The sequence below is a fragment of the Homo sapiens genome, chromosome 6, assembly GCF_000001405.40.
Source record: "Homo sapiens chromosome 6, GRCh38.p14 Primary Assembly".
Taxonomy (NCBI): domain Eukaryota; kingdom Metazoa; phylum Chordata; class Mammalia; order Primates; family Hominidae; genus Homo; species Homo sapiens.
The window spans coordinates 152,567,478-152,584,872 of record NC_000006.12 but is presented as its reverse complement, the minus strand read 5'-3'; the positions used below and the strand labels follow the sequence as shown (position 1 = coordinate 152,584,872).

At 37.6% G+C, this 17,395-nt stretch overlaps 1 protein-coding gene across 44 annotated transcripts in view, besides 1 other annotated feature; it reads left to right on the top strand.

Annotated features, from left to right (window-relative positions):
• SYNE1 (spectrin repeat containing nuclear envelope protein 1) overlaps positions 1–17,395 on the top strand; it is a 515,676-nt gene that overhangs the window by 52,490 nt on the left and 445,791 nt on the right. The window lies entirely within an intron of this gene.
• Positions 11,606–12,168: an enhancer, noted in NCBI's record as "NANOG hESC enhancer chr6:152893840-152894402 (GRCh37/hg19 assembly coordinates)". NCBI's record gives its function as "activates a minimal SCP1, AML or CMV promoter by ChIP-STARR-seq in naive and primed H9 embryonic stem cells {active_cell/tissue: H9 hESC(naive and primed)}" and the evidence as "EXISTENCE:reporter gene assay evidence [ECO:0000049][PMID:30033119]".

The following is a 17,395-nucleotide window of genomic DNA, read 5'->3' as shown; positions in this document are numbered from 1 at the left end:
CAGCTATTAAAATATGATGAAGATTTAAATGTAATGTAACGTGAAGATGCAGAAGCATGTATACATTTTTATTCCAGAAATATTTTCTGCATATTTTCTTCACAAGAGTGTAGGGTTACATATAAATATTACGTTAACTTGCTATATTAAATAAGATATGAAAAGTATAAGGCCGGGTGCAGTGGCTCATGCCTGTAACCCCAGCATTTTGAGAGGGTGAGGAGGGAGGATCACTTGAGCCCAGAAGTGTAGAGCAGCCTGGGCAATGTAGCGAGACCTCGTCTCTACTAAAAATCAAAAAAATTAGTTGGGCATGGTGGTACACACCTGTGGTCCCAGCTACTGTGGTCCCAGTGAGGTCTGACAGCGCCATTGCAGTCCAGCCTGGGTGACAGAGCAAGGCCCTGTCTCAAAAAACAAAATAAATAAATAAAATAAGTAGGGATACAGAGAAGCAGATGTTATTTTGCACCAAGGGGAATACATTAAATATGTATTTTGGGTTATCTCTACTTAGATTATAAATTATAAATCACACTAAATTAAGTATAAAAAGTTAAAGTATAGTATGATCCGATTTTGTGATCTCTTTCTTTCTCTCTGTCTCTCTCTCTCTCTCTCCATATTTATTGAAACTTTGTGGCCAGGCACTACTGCAAGTGTATATGACATGTGTCATCTTATTTAAATCTCACCAGAACCCTAAGGAAAACTTTAATTATTGTGCTCCCCGATTTAGCAGATAAGGGTATCGAGGCACAAGTGTCATAATCTGCCAAAGATCACAGAGCTAGGGAGTGCCAGTGCCAGGATTTGAAAGCAGGCAGTCTGGTACCAGAGCTTCTGTTCATAACCCCCAGGCAATAATGCCTTCCTATACATTGCCTCTAAATCCATCGCAAAGATGCACACAGAAGAGATGTTTTTCTCCTTCCTTGTGTGGCTATATCTAGTTTTTAGGTAATGTTGAGTAGGATAAACATATTTGTTAGGACTCCTCACCTCCAGTCCATCCCTGCTTTTTTACTCTCTGCCGCAGGCCCACCCGAGTCTAATTCTCCCACTTTTGCTCTCAGGAAAAGAGCTGATAAATTCAGTCAAATGACCAGTGAGGCATAGTGCTCTCTTCCAATGTCCCTTTTACAGCAGAAATGAACCATTGATTCCAGACTGACAGGCTCATCTGAGTCACTGCCAGCTTTCAGGGGATTGGAGGCTGATAGGGGGATTTGAGGTAGGAGAAATTCTGGAACCTGTAAAAACAGACACAGCCTATTTTACCAGTCTCTGGAAGTAAGGCGTCTTCTGTTTCTCTAAGTTTTCTGATAAAGGTCCCACACATTGGAATTGTTGTAATAAAACAGGCAACATTTATAGATTTCCTATTTTTCTGCACAATCCTCACAGTAACCTTAGAAAGCTGGTGACACTATTTTTATCCTCATAATAAGGGAATGGGGCTCAGTACAGTGAGGTAATGATGCCCAACTAGTAATGATAGAGATGTCACTGCAAAGCCTGTCCTCCCAGGGAGGCAGATATGGGTTGAGGGTGTGAGAAAGGGAAAGTTGTGATGATCCTAAAGGCCCCTCCACCCTGAGTGACCTTCATTTTAGGATGTGACGCATGAAGCCGGGGCACACTAGAAGTCCCAACACACAGTGGTTCCTTAATGAGGGTCACTGATTTAGGATCTGAGCAAAGGTAACTCAAAATATATATTTAATGTATTCCCTTTGGTGCAAAGTAACTTTTATATTACTCAGTAGCAGCTTATTTATTGGTCTTTGTCAATAAAATAATTATAAAATGTATAAGATTTATAACACTTCAGAATCTCTCCACTCCAACAAAGTGACCACTTGATTTTAATAGCACTTCATGATTTTGTCTGTATTCATAGCAAAACAATTACTAAATAGAATACTCTGATGAAAAATTTTAAATATGATTGCAACCTTCTACAAAGTATTTAGAAATTATGAAATAAATTTATATTGTAGAATTACAGATTTCAGCAAATTTTGAAAAGGCCACAATATATGTAAGTGGCCAGTATACTCTTTAACAAAGATGAAGTAATTTTAAAAAAAGATGGAAGTAATAGACACTGAAAACTCCAAAAAAGGGAAGGATGGAAGGAGGCTGATGATTGAAAAATAACTTATCAGATAGTTTTCACTGTTTGGGTAATGGGTACACTAGAAGCCCAGTCTCCACCAGTACCTTATATTCTCTTGTGACAAACATGCACATGTACCCCATGGATCTAAAATAAAATAAAGTTATATATATATTTATTTATATATATGTAAAAAGTTTTGAGCACTGGTAACCCATTTTAAGCTGGCAACATGTATATGTAATATGTAATATATGTGTGTGTGTATATATATAAATTTGACTTAAAATTTAACTCAGTGTGTGTACACACTCATGCACACACATGTATATATACACATATTTGAATACTTTTAGGGGGTGAGTGGGACTAGGTAAGTAATGATATTGTTATTACAAGGAGAGATGTGAGAGATACTATGAGAATGTTTAAGACAAGGTGCTACAGAGAAGGGAAAGAGAACTTCCAGATATGATGATATTATGGGAGATCTTACCTTTGAACTAGGTACTAAGGAGAATTTTTACCAGCTGCCACAGAAGAGCTGAAGGTATTCAGAGTGTCAGGCTAACTTGAAAAACTTCCCTTCAGGCAGGCAGCTGGTGGGAAGTCCTGGCTATGTTTGGGAAGTAGGGGGTGGAGGGGGATACGATTTGGCAGAAGCAAGCTGTATGTCATACAACTAGCTCTATGTGGGTTATTGGTGACATGACTAGGAAGTAGGTTGAGGCCAGATTGGAAAAAGTTTTGAGTACTGGGATATAGAGCAAAAAGCCTGCTAGGCACTGGTAACCCATTTTAAGGTGGCAAGGGAGTGATATTATCAGAGTCAAGCTCTGAAAAATTAATCTAGTGTTCACAAGAAGAGTGAATCGGATAGCAGAGACTAGAGTGGGGAAGACAAGAATAGATGCATAAGAATCAGCAGGGGACATTTACAAAAATTCAAACCCTGGATCCCACCACTGGTGATTTTGACTCAGTGAGTCTGGAGCGAGCCAGGGGTCTGCAATATTAACAAAACCCCCAAGGCATTCTTGGGCTGGTGGACAACTAGGTTCCCTTTAAGAAACATCAAGGGAAAGTGATGAGGTGTTTGCACTAAAACTGGAAAGGGAGGTCTGAGGACAGGACAAGGAATGAAAGCAAAGGTGACGGATGAGACGTTGGTGTAGCGAGAGGGGCCATGAGCAGTGGGAAGTTGGTGTGCTTATGTCTGCTATAGTACTCACCACATGGTAACTGCATGTTTACATGGTTATTTTCCTACTCTGAAGTCCCTACATCATCCTTTTAGGATGCAGTGGCTACTTAGTAAATATTTCTGGAATGACATTATTCTTTGCACCCTCAGAGACTCCTGTGTACTTACTGGTGAGACTTCTGGTCTCTCTCTGGGTAACTGGGAGGTCATTTGATTTGAGGTACAGGCTGAAGGTTGTGGCTGATGGAGAAGCCCTCTCACAACATTCCAGTCCCTGGCCCACTAGGGCATCCCCTCTTACCTGTGCAAATAAAAGTCCTAGTTGATTCAGGCCCATACATGGTTTAGCCTGCTGCACTTCACCGGGAATTCAGAGAGCTGTCAGTGCTATGTTGAGGGCATTCTCAGGGAAGCAGGTCTTTGCACACATCAGTAGTTCCTGAGGCCTCTCTGGAAGATGTATTGTTCATTTTAACTAGGTAGGTTTTGCTGAAGTTTACAAAGTAGAGACTAACTGATCAATGAAGAATGGAACACATTGTATAAGAAGCCAAGAGAAGAGCAACATTACAGGTATTAACAGATGTAGCCCAATGAATGCCAAATACTCTTCCTGCAAATGTTTACATCTAAGTGTACATGTGTTCTGGTCATTTGTGGCTCTGTAACAAATTAGAAAACTCAGTAGCAAAAAACAATCACTTTTATTCTCACACATTTTGAGGATCGGGAATTTTGGATAGGGCTCAGTAGGAATGGCTTATCTCTGCTCCACAATGCCTGGGTCCTCAGCTAGAAGACTTAAATACTGATGGCTAATATGCAGAAGAGTGACACTAGACCCCTTCCTTTCACCATATACAAAAATCAACTCAAGGTGGACCAAAGATGTAAAGGTAAAATCTAAAACTATAAAACTGTAGAAGAAAACCTAAGAAATACTATTCTAGACATAGGCCCTGGCAAAATTTCATGATGAAGACTCCAAACGCAATTGCAACAAAAACAAACATTGACAAGCAGGGCCTAATTAAACTAAAAAGCTTCTGCATAGCAAAAGACACTGTCAACTGAGTAAACAGACAACCTACAGAATGGGAGAAAATATTTGCAAACCATGCATCTGACAAAGATCTAATATCCAGAATTCATAAGGAACTTAAACAAATCAACAAGCAAAAACTAAACAACCCCATTGAAAAATGGGCAAAGGACATGAACAGACGTTTCTATAAGAAGACACGCATGTGGACAAGTATATGAAAAAATGTTCGACATCACTCATCATCAGAAAAATGCAAATCAAAACCATGATGAGATGCCATCTCACACCAGTTATAATAGCTATTACTAAAAAGTCAAGAAATGACAGATGCTGGTAAGGTTGTGGAGAAAAAGGGAACACCTATACATTGCTGGTGGGAATGTAAATCAGTTCAGCCACTGTGGAAAGCAGTTTGGAGATTTCTCCAACAACTTAAAGCAGAATTACCATTTGACACAGCAATCCCATTACTGGGTATATACCCAAATGAATATAAATTGTTCTACCATAAAGACACATTCATGCAGATGTTCATTGCAGCACTCTTCACAATCGCAAAGACATGGAATCGGCCCATCGATGATGGACTGGGCAAAGAAAATGTGGTACATACACACCATGGAATAATACACAGCCATAACAAGAATGAAATCATGTTATTTACAGCAACATGGATGGAGCTGGAGGCCATTACCCTAAGCGAATTAACACAGGAAAAGAAAACCAAGTACCACATGTTGTTACCTGTAAGTGGGAGCTAAACATCGAGTGCATATGGACACAAAGAAGAGAATAACATAGATACCAGGGTCTACTTGAGGGTAGAGGATAGGAAGAGGGTGAGGATTGAAAAACTACCTATTGAGTACTACGCTCATTACCTGGGTGACAAAATAATCTGTATAGTAAACCCCCAACACATGCAATTTACCCATGTAACAAACCTGTACATGCACCCCCTGAACCTAAAATAAAAGTTGGAAAGAAAAAAAAGTGACACAATAAGAAAGGAAAAGAAAATGCTGGTGGCTGGAATCTTCTGAAAGCTCTCTTAATACATCTGGCAGTTGATTCAGGCCTGTGGCTGAGACTTTAGCTGGAACATCTGCCACATGGCCTCTGCCTGTGGCCTGGGTATCCTCACAACATGGTAGCTGAGATCCAAAGGCAGGTGACTCAAGAGAAAGAGCCAGACAGAACTTTTTGCCTTTAAGACTTAGTCTCAGAAGTCACACAGCCTCACTTCTTACATATCCTACTTGTCACAGCAGTCCCAATAGCTCACCCAAATTCAAGGGGAAGGAAAAAAATTTCTACCTCTAAATGGGGTAGTAACTAGGTTCTGGAAGAGCATGTAAGACCAGAAATATTATTGTTGTCATCTTTGGAAAATGCAATCTTCTACAATATGACTTAAAAAAAGAAATACTCTTAGTTACTAAATTTAAACCAATGGAGCCTATTTTGTGAGAAGTAGCAAGTAAAATATCATTATCTTTACTATAGATTTGCATTTCTTGGTTATAGCCATATGAAGTCAAATCTCTTCTGAAATAAATTAGAATATTAACTTAACATCTGTTTCCAAAGACTTGATGGATTTTTAAATAAATAACCTGGAAACAAAAGATGGCTCTTACTGTTAAAAAAAATAAAAAGTTAATGAAATAAACAGAGAAGTGACAGTCATATAAAATGTTATTAGATAAATTCATAAAATAGATGTATGCATAGTAATTAGAGGTCAAATTCTTAATTATGAAAGTTAACAGGAAAACAGGGTTATAGACTTCATAGGGTTAATAAGCCTTAAAAATTTCAAAGGGAATCTTGAAATCAAAGTTAGATACTGGAATTAAAGAATATGAAGGGTTTTGTTTTTATTTTTGTTTTTTTATTTTGTTTTTTGAGATGGAGTCTCACTCTGCTGCCCAGGCCATAGTGCAGTGGCACAATCTCTGCTCACTGCAACCTCTGCCTCCCATGTTCAAGTGATTCTCCTGCCTCAGCCTCCAAGTAGCTGGGATTAGAGGCACATGCCACCACACCTGGCTAATTTTTGTATTTTTTGTGGAAACGGGATTTCACCATGTTGGCCAGGCTGGTCTTGAATTTCTGACCTCAAGTGACCTGCCCACCTCAGCTTCCCGAAGTGCTGGGATTACAGGCATGAGCTACCACGCCAGGCCAAGGATATGAAGTTTTCATATTATATTGTGGTAATGAAAGATGTTAACATTGGGGCAGACCGGGTGAAGGTGTACATGGGATCTTCCTGTGTATTTCCATGTAACTTCCTGTGAATCTGTAAATATTTCATAATTTAAAAACTTTTTGAAAAGTGAAAAAAATATAAAGTTTCAGATTTCATGAATTTAACAAAAGAAAAATAGTTTGCAATTGTTTCACTGCCTATTGTAGCAAAAAAAACCATTTTTGCTATCTAGATTTATATATTTAGTAGAAATAATGACACTTTACACATATACTCCCACACTCACAAAAACACCGCATCAAATCACAGAATATACAGGGAAAAATGCAGGATGTAGAGAAGATGTGGAGTTTGTTATTCCAAGAAACATTTGCTTCTGGTTGTTACTTTCTAAGTAAGGCCTGTTGGATACTATAAGCATTTTGCAAGTAGGCAAGGTATAGTATAGTAAATAAGTAAATTATTTTATTGGCATATTGCTTACAAATCTAAATTAAAAAAAAAAACAAAACAGAAAACTCAAGCTTGTAATAATGGGGAGTTGTGATACAGTCTAAGTGAATGTAGACCTTCACTCCAACTCCCGTCTGGAAAATCACCAGAGTTTAGAAGCATTTTCATAGTTAGAGAATTTTTTTTTCTTTTGTTGTCGTTGAGATGGAGTCTCGCTCTGTCCCCCAGGCTGGAGTGCAGTGGCACCATCTCGGCTCACTGCAAGCTCCGCCTCCCGGGGTCACGCCATTCTCCTGCCTCAGCCTCCCGAGTAGCTGCGACTACAGGCGCCCGCCACCATGCCCGGCTAATTATTTTGTGTTTTTAGTAGAGACGGGGTTTCACTGTGTTAGCCAGAATGGTCTCAATCTCCTGACCTTGTGATCCACCCGCCTCGGCCTCCCCAAGTGCTGGGATTACAGGTGCGAGCCACCGCGCCCAGGCAAGAATATTTTTATGATTTAAAATGCAGTAACGATGTCATTTCTTAGACTCAATTGTTTTCATGGATCTTGGTGAGTTCTTGCAAAGTGGCAATTGTGTTCACATTTCTGCCTAAAACCATGCACCCTAGGTTAGCAATGTGACTTCTTTAAAGCCCTGCATTAATTATACTTCTAATAAGATTCTTTCTATCGTTGAGCCACTTGCAACAGCAAGTTTTATTCTTTGTCAAGAACAAAAACACTTTATTAGCTGCAGTGATTGTAGCCTTCCTATCTGAAGCTCAAATTAATTTAAAGAAATGACAAAAAAATGCCTTCTTAACATATGAACAATTTTGATTGTCTGACAATAAAAGCTGGCATTTTATATGTGTATGTGTCTCTCAAGTTATTTTTAAATTACTAAAAATGCTATTTGCTTTAGACCCCAATCTATTTTCCATATATCTTTTGTTAGTGCTCAATCATGAAGTCAAATTGTGTCTCCATTTCCTGTTTGCTTTGAGGGTGATCTACTCTTCTTTAATCTAATCGGACTAAATGTGATTACACTCAGGGAAGCACAAATTCAAAGTTGGATTTTTCCACTAATTCTTGACAGCCAGATTTAGAGGAGTGTAAAATAATTTCCCCACTTCCTGTAGCTAATTTGAATAGGAAGGTCAAGAATCTGGCTATCTGTCCTTATACCTGCTGTGACTGAAAATATGACAAGGTTTTGAAAGCCTTTGTTCTGTGTGCCCCTGTGTCACTTGGAAAATACCTGTGTCTTTTTGGGGTAGCCTGCATCCCCTAGTAGTTAATTATTTAGTTACTTACCTCTGACAGATCTAACAAGGTAGGCCTTAGAAGTTAATCTGGTGGCAAAAGGAGTAGGTTTAGAAAGGAAAACACACCAAATTGCATAGGATTTGTCATCAAGAAATTTGAGTATAATGTACTCTTGGAAACTGAGTGATTGGAAGAAAAACCTAACACTGTCTAAATACATGGGAGTGTTGTAAACTGCATAGTAGGACTCAAAAACCAAGACTGTGCTATGTGCTAGTATTTCTGCTGTAAATGCCTAGTAATTCCTTATTCCCAATCTGTAGTTGGACCTTGAACACTGGCTCACGCAAAGCAAGTTCTATTGATTTTATTTATATCCTATAGATACAGAATGTGAATGCATACCAATAACTGCAAAAGCAAGCAGCTAACGCAGATTAGAGTTAACATTAGCAAAGAAAGATGGGTTGGTACTTATTTTTTTGAAAAAACACAGCAGGAACAATTTAATAGCTGACTGAATTGCTACCAGAAAGACATGCACAGGCACGTTTGCTGATTAGCCGAGGTCCACTTTGTTCTTATTTGGCAGATTATGCAATAGCCGTTTCCCAGAACATTACTAATAATGCTGCAAGAATTATAAGAGAAAGTTTGTTTACACTGAATATTTTAAAAGAGATTACAGTCACCTCAAGTTGCTAAGATAGAAAGTAATAATGTAGCATGCATTAAATGCCTATTACATTCCAGGCACTGTGCTATGTGTTTTGCATATACATTGTTCATTTAGCTTTCAAGCAACCCTGTGAGGTAGCTGTTAATAGTTTCCTCATTACAGTGATGATGAAACTGATGTTCTGATAGGCTGAGAAACTTGTTCAAGGTTGCATAGCTAGTAAGTTGTGGCAAATCTAGGCTGTTCTGACTGCAAAGATCATGTTTATTTATGTTGACTCCACAATCTTAAAATGGAACAACAGCCTATTGGATTACTGAACTGTAGTGAAATGCAATATAACTTCTCTTTTTCATGTTTTCAGCAGTTTGCATAAATAAATTGTTGAACAACTATTTTAAGATTCTAAAGCTGTGGTTTTTGAATTCTAGTTCGGATAAGAATGACATGAGGAGTGTGTTCCAATGCAGACCTCTAAGCCTTGTCTCAGAGAGTCTTGGGGCATCTAATGCAGAACCCAGGAAGCTCCATCTCTAGTGAGCATTGCATTCTGATGTCATTCGTCCATGAAACACATTTTGACAGATACAAATCTAGAGGCATGTAATTCAGCCCAGACCACTAAATAAAAGCTTCATTCAGAATTGTTCTGCTCAATGCAGTATGACATTAGGAAAAACTTTATCAGGTGTTGCTCCTTGAAATAGTCCTTTAGGGCATTTATTACATTCCCAGATTGAAGACCACCATCCTATACCACCGGAGTTAGAGAAAACCTCATCAACTGTACCCACCACCATCATGTGTCATTCAGGGATGGGATTATAGCTTAGATGGAAGAGTTCTTACATTTCATGTTTGGTACATTCATTCACATTTATTTTTCTTAAGAAAGCATAATTCCAATGGTTATTCTCTTAAAATAAGTACTTCCATGGTGGCTTAAAGAACCTAAAGCCACAGAAATGAAAAGCAAACAAAATTAAAAACAAACAAACAAAACAAAAAACAAACCAAAAACAGCTAAGAGTGAACTGACGTTTCAAGAGTCCTGCTCTATAAGGATTTGACTGAATGGTGCCTGTCCCAAGGATCTGAAAGTGTTAGTGTGCCTGAAAAAAACAGAAGTTAGATTATACATTGGGGAAAATTACTTTGATTACCTTAGTTACTTCAAATACCTTAATACTTTCATGCAAACATATAAAGTGTATATCCTTCAAGTGGGGTTTTCCATGGTTGAGAAACAACTACGGTATTTACTTAGCACCTATTATGCTCATCTCCTTTCCTTCCCTCAAAGCTTCATTTAGTCCAATTAATGAGATAAGATTTGGATTGATTACCAGACTGCTTAAGCTTAATCAACCAACAAAGACTGAAGAGAGTCATGAAAGAAGTGAGAGCAAGAGGAGGAAGGGCATCCCAGTCCTTGTTGTTCAATTACAGCAATTAACTGTCAGGTGCAGAAAGGAAAGGCAAGAACAAGAGCAAAGAGGAGGTAATTACACAGGGTTGAGCTTGGGGATGCCTTTGCAGAGGTGCAGACACGTTTCTGAGGCAACTCTCCAGATCTCATCTACGAAAACAACAAATATATATTATATATATTTCCTCTCTAAACCTACTCCTTTTGCCACCAAATTAACTTCTAAGGCCTATCTTGTTATATCTGCCATATATATATATATATATGTATATATTTATGTGTATATATATATGTGTGTATATATATACATATATATGTGTATATCCCATTATATATTCCATAACTGTAGATTTGGCCCATTTTCTCCATTCTCACCCCGTTATGAGGCTCAAATCATAGTTACAGCTGGGGACTTCATTTAATTTGTTTTTAAGAATCTGTAACTCATAAAGAGATGACTCAGAGCTTGGTTGAACATCTCTAATGTTTTTGCTTCCCCCAGCTCCCACAGCCCGTAAAGTTAAAATATGTTCTGTGCTTCCAACAGGTGAAGCAGAGCTTTGATGCTATTATGCTGTATCTAACAATGAACCTGTTTTGTTTCTTAGTCATAGAAGTTTGCTGTATATGATGCATACTCTTTTAGGATGGGTAGATGCTATTGTTACTGTTAGTTTGATCATTTTCTTCAAAGTTTTAAAAAATAATTAACCTAATTCTTGAGCATATGAATTAGAGTGTCAAGGTAACAGACTTTTATAGGGAAATCTTCAGAAAATGTAGGCAGAAAAGTTATGATTTATGAGAGTCCCAATATTACATTCTTGACATTTCTTGAAGATAGGTTCTAAATCTTCTTGAACATTTTTTCCTGTTTTCAAAATTAGAGAATGGTAAGTTGGGGTCATCTGAGGAAAGAAGAGTTGTGAGCAATGGAATCCAACCTGCTTTTTCATCACTTCTCTTCAGTTTCAGTTAAAAATGTCAGCCTTGGAAACCATCATTCTCAGCAAACTACCGCAAGGACAAAAAACCAAACACCGCATGTTCTCACTCATAGGTGGGAATTGAACAATGAGAACACATGGACACAGGAAGGGGACCATAACACACCAGGGCCTGTTGTGGGGTGGGGGGAGGGGGGGGGATAGCATTAGGAGATATACCTAATGCTAAATGACGAGTTAATGGGTGCAGCACACCAACATGGCACATGTATACATATGTAACAAACCTGCACGTTGTGCACATGTACCCTAAAACTTAAAGTATAATAATAATAAAATTTAAAAAAAAATCAGCCTCCTCTATAGAGACCTCAAGTAGGTAATGCCCAGAGGGGAGTCTCCACCTCTAAGTGCCTCGCCCTTAGAAAAGTATTCCTTTCTCTTTCTTTACCTTTAATTTTTCATTGCCTGAGGATATTCAACAAGGTGTTATCTAATTCGAGCAGTTGACAATGAGGTGTGAATGTCAAATAGACATTCCCAGAAGGAATCCTTCCCAGAAGGTGTTTACATTCCTAAAATGTTTATTAGACCAAAGGCAACTCCCTCTTTCAGAATTTGTGGCTGATTTGTTTTTGTATGCTCTGTTGGCTTTTCCTGCCTTCCCTCATAAACTAAATGACCCAGAAAACATCAACACACATCATTCACACACAACACCCATGAACAAATACCATGGAATAACTTTTATTCCACAGCTTTTGGCATTACACCAATTCATTCCCCTTACCTCCGCTCTCTCTCCTTTTTAAGTTACTCTTCATCCCTAGCGAAAGTGAGTTGCCCTTCAGGAAAGACTTTTTCTGGAACGAATCTTTCCAACTGCAGAGGAGCTTTTGAGTATCTGGCAACGATGAGTAGTATTACTGACATTCTGGTTTTGTGACGTTGGGCGGGTCATAGACTCTGGAGCTGTTTCCTAATCCATAAAAAGTGCTCTTATTCTAGAAATCTATTATTCTGGGAGTCCCCTTATTCTGTTTATTGGCTTTGAAGCTCTTCCAATCCAAACAATTTCTCCCATAAGTCATAGGAAATGAGCACTTTTACAAAAAGCAAGACATTGAGGACTGAAGTGAGTCATTCTAACAGCTAATTAGATTGTTGTGCATTTTGGATACATGTAATTAATGGACCCTCCTTTAAGAATAGTGAGAAGAACTGAATTGGCAAAATGGACAAAAATAGAACATACTTTGGTTTGTAAAAGTTTGAATTTACGTAAGATGGTAGTAACATTACCTCAATTGTTACACTTCATTACAGTAAAATGCTAAGTATTATATTATGCAATGACAATAGAAATATCACTCAGACACCTCAGAAGTGTCATTAAAGATGTAGGCATTATGCAAAAATATATTTGATTTCTACTTGCCTTTTCAAATGCTTCAGGCAAAAGGTCAGTCCAAGATTGCGGTGATAAAGCTGCCCCCACCCCAACCCCTTCTTTAATTCAGGAAGTGACTAGAGTTTTGTTATTGTAATTACAAATATGATAATTTCCTGGCAAGGAAATTTTTAAAAACTGTGATGATGCACAAACTAGCATTGAAAAATTTAAAAAATGCATTGAAAATAACAAGTTAGTTGCATATAGCAAGTAAGTAGAAAATGATTAAAAACTAAATTTAGTTACATGTTACTCTTTCCTTTTTAAATTATTTAAGAAAATACACTAAAATGTTAATCTTTTCTCTGCCAGGGAAAATGCCTCTTTCGTCACAGTAATTGACCCAATACAGATACAGCCATAATAAAACAATTTTGTTTCCTGAGACCCATTTTCTTTCTCTTTGTGGGTACTTTACAGTCACGGATTTTGGGTTAAATCACACCATTTTATTAGTGACAAGAAGTTAATTTGCATGCTTTCTTCCTTCCTTTTTTTTAGGGTAAAAAGTATACACATATAGAAATTAAATATAAATCCTCCCCCTTCATCATGCAGCTGTCATGAAATGCCTCTGAAGGATTGTAGGTGTGTAGCTCTAAATTTCGTGGTGCTACAGGATTCATATACATGTATTCTCCATTCCTTCAGAAATTGCTGGCATTTTTTGTTTGTTTGTTTCTGCACATTGAATTTTTCTTTCTTCCCTTGATTTTCCTTTTCTGAAGACCTAGAGTCAACACAAGTGCCAGTTCTCAGCTAGAGATCATTGCCAAGGCTGTTATTTTAAAAGCAAGCCTAGTAATCAGTACTTTGCTTCCTGTTCTTAAGCAATCTCAGAAGACAAACCAAGTAGGGGTCATTTCTATTCCATTGGGTTAAAAGAAACCTCAGAATGGAACACATTGTAAGGTAATGTTTACAGGTTAAATTTATTGAAACTAAGTAACTGAGATAGAAAGTTGTCAATTGAAAAATATCTCTGTATTACTGTGTAGGTCAAAAAAGACCAGAGTAAACATCAAATTAAATAAGCAGCTTGATTTCTGAGCAAAGTCCCTTCCCTTCTTGCTTTCTGAGCAATGGGATGAATCCCCCTTTGTGCATCCCTTTCTGAGACTGGGCAGGGCAGTCTCGTGAATTCCTCCGCATCTGGCTGCCTTTAGGAGAGAGCTCCTAGATAGATGCTTACCTTACTTATTGCTGTGAGTAGGAGTTTTTTTGTTTGCTTGTTTGTCTTTCTCTTTAGTGAGGTACACTACAAAAGAAAGACTTCTTACCATGATAGTAAGGACTGAACCTTCCTAGATAGCTCCCTTTATTAATTTGTAGAAGGAAGGGGATACCATTGTTTTGATTGCCTCTGATTAAGGGAACAGCTGTTAGTAATCTGCAAGACCCGCTTCCTGGTGGGAATAGGTGCAGCACACCACCCATCCCGAAGTTTGTTGGGATGAAGGACTAAAATAACCCAGTGCTGAGACTGGAGATCCAACGTGGCCTCAGCAAGTCCAGCCTCTAGTGCTGGCAAGGCTGCACCTCCCCAAAAGGGTCAAGTTGACCACGTTGGCCTTTAACAAGCAACCTTTTTGTTTTTCGGAGATCTCACTGACTACCCCATCTACCTGACCCAAAAGGTATGCTAATTCCCTGGCTATCCTGTTCACAGGAGAGAATCTAAATATTATACACAGAGAAGGAAGAGTATGAGTTTTATATATGATATAGTAATGGTTTTATAGGCAGAGATTCAAAAGATTTTTCTGAAAGCGTAATATTTTGATGTGTTCGGGACAATCAAATACCTACATAATATAGAGGAAATAAACTGTTTTAACTTTTATATAGCTTGGTGCTGAGAAAGAACATAGGAGCAACAGAAAATGGAAGATTGTGTTTTTTATTTTGCTGTGATTTCATAATGATCTATTTAGTTATTATTAACATGGAAATAATTGAAGAATTCAGCAGAGTTGTCACACAGGGTCTAGACAACACGAAATAATTGCTAGACTTATGCTTTTTGTTTTTAAATTATTTCAGAAACTAAATTGTAAACTAAATTGCAGGTCAGTCTATTCAGTAGACTGAAATAACTAAGAACACATCTTAATGACAGGCTAAGATCGTATTCAGATCACCTGTAATTTAATAAAGGTGTATTTATTTTATGAAAGTATGGCCTCAAGACTTGTTTCTACAGCTATTTTACTAGCATCAAAAATCAAACAAACATATCTTTACCATCAAAGAGAGGTGGTTTATATACCCAAATTGTTTTAGGCAGAGTGCAAGAATTCACACTTCTAGGGCCATCTCCAAGAAGATCTCTGAATTAATTATACGTGTGGCTCTCCACTGGCAGAGTATTTGAGAGTATTTTGGATGCAGCTTGTGTATATTCTTTTTTCTTCCTCCATTTCTTCTCATCATCCCTAAAGCTGCTTATGACCCATTTTTTCTATTCTACTACAGATATGCAAATCTAGTTGTCATTTCTCACAGTGTAATTATTGATTATCTTTACTTTTAAATCTTTAAAATATGGTCTTTTCTCTTCTTTATTAAACTTACTTAAAAAAATCTAAATTTAACAATGGGCTAAGCTATATAAGCACTGATACATATGCTTTTCAAACATAAACTTCTGTTATCCTACCAACAACCTTATGAGGCAAGTGCCATCATTACCTCCATTTCACAGATGAGGAAACTGAAAGGAGAATCTAGATAACTTGCCCATAAGGTGATGATTAAACTAAACCCAGGAAATTGGATGCATGCTGGGAACCACTGCACCACAAAATTTTCTACAGCTTATGATCCATACAGTGATCCCAAAATTTGATTGTGCATAAGAATCACCTGGGTATCTTGTTAAAGCCGATTGCTGATCTGCTTCTGTAGGTCAGGATTGGAGCCAGGAATTTACATTTCTAACAAGTTCCCAGGTGGTGCTGATGCTGCTGCTCTGGGCACTTTAAGGACCACTGATGTATGATAATACTGAGACTAGGAGCAATAAAGAACTAATTCATTAATGTTACTTAATCTTCATTATAAGAGTTAAAAATACTGGCTTTCAAAAATGGCAACTTATTACAGCTCAAAATCTCTTTCTTTTTGTTTAAAAGTTACCCCTGGATATTATGCTTATCTCATTGTTTTTTAAATTGAATAATGTAAAACTTTATTTCATATGTTTTAAAGACCATTTTGTGAATTGCTGGTCCATATCTTTGCTTACAAATGTAATGGGACTGAAAATTTTTCTCATTGATTTTATTTAAAATTCTAAGCCAGGTGCAGTGGCAAGAGCCTGTAGTTCTAGCTACTCAGGAGTCTGAGACAGGAGGATCCCTGAGACGAGGAGTTGGAGGCTGCAGTGTGCTGATTGCACCCATGAATAGCCACTGCACTCTATTTTGGGTACATAGAGAGACCCTGTCTCTAAATGTAAATAAATAGGCCAGGTGCAGTGGCTCATGCCTGTAATCCCAGCACTTCGGGAGCACAAAGCAGGTGGATCAACTGAGGTCAGGAGTGCAAGACCACTCTAGCCAAGATGGTGAAACCCCATCTCTACTAAAAATACAAAAATTAGCCGAGTGTGGTGGTACGCATTTGTAGTCCCAGCTACTTGGGAGGCTGAGGCACAAGAATTACTTGGACCCAGGAGGTAGAGGTTGCAGTGAGCCGAGATCTCGCCACTGTACTTCAGCCAGCTTGAGCAAAAGAGCGAGAGATGCTATCTCAAAAAAAAAAAAAAAAAAAAAAAAAGAATAAAATAAAATAAAAATTTAACTCATATTTTTAGCACATATTTTCCCACTATACTCTTTGCCTTTATGTTTATAATATGTTGGATATGTATTTTTGATTTTTATGCAATGAAACCTATTCCTCTTTAGTTATTTTTAGGCCTAAAATGTCTGTCTTCATTATTAAGCATATTTACTATATTTTCAGGTAGTTGTTATAGTTTATTTTAATTCCCTAAACCATTTGGTATTTATTTTGGTGTAAAGAGAGGTTCTCAATGATTTTTTTTTCTATTTTCATTTGCCCTCTAGTTTTCCCTAAACTATTCATCAAATGATCTTTCTCATTTTGTCTAGATAGACACAAGTCTCTTTCTGGACTGTGTATTTCATTGCATTCTATGGTGTGTTCTTTCTCTGTTACCACATTGCTTTAATTAATGCACCTTTTACATTTTATTTTTAATATTTGATAGGACAAGCAATGTGTTCCCTTCCCTTGTTACTTTTCCTTTTCATATCTGAGATTTTCTACATGAGGAAGTCAGACCGCCCTCCTTTTCTCCAGAAAGCACCCAGGAAGCTATTTTTTGACAATAAAGATTACTTTTTTTTCTTGGATTTTGCACAAAAATCTGTAAGTGCAAAGTTACTGCTATAATAACTAGTTAGCATTGGAATAGAAGGAGAGTTTCAGGCTGGAGACATCATGGCAGTTGAAAAAATACTCTGTTCTTCTTTTATTCTTCTCTGTTGCCTTTGCTTCAGCAGATGGTAGAAGGACTCAGTGGTAATAATGGAGACAAAAAAATCAATAGAAGCATCCAAATT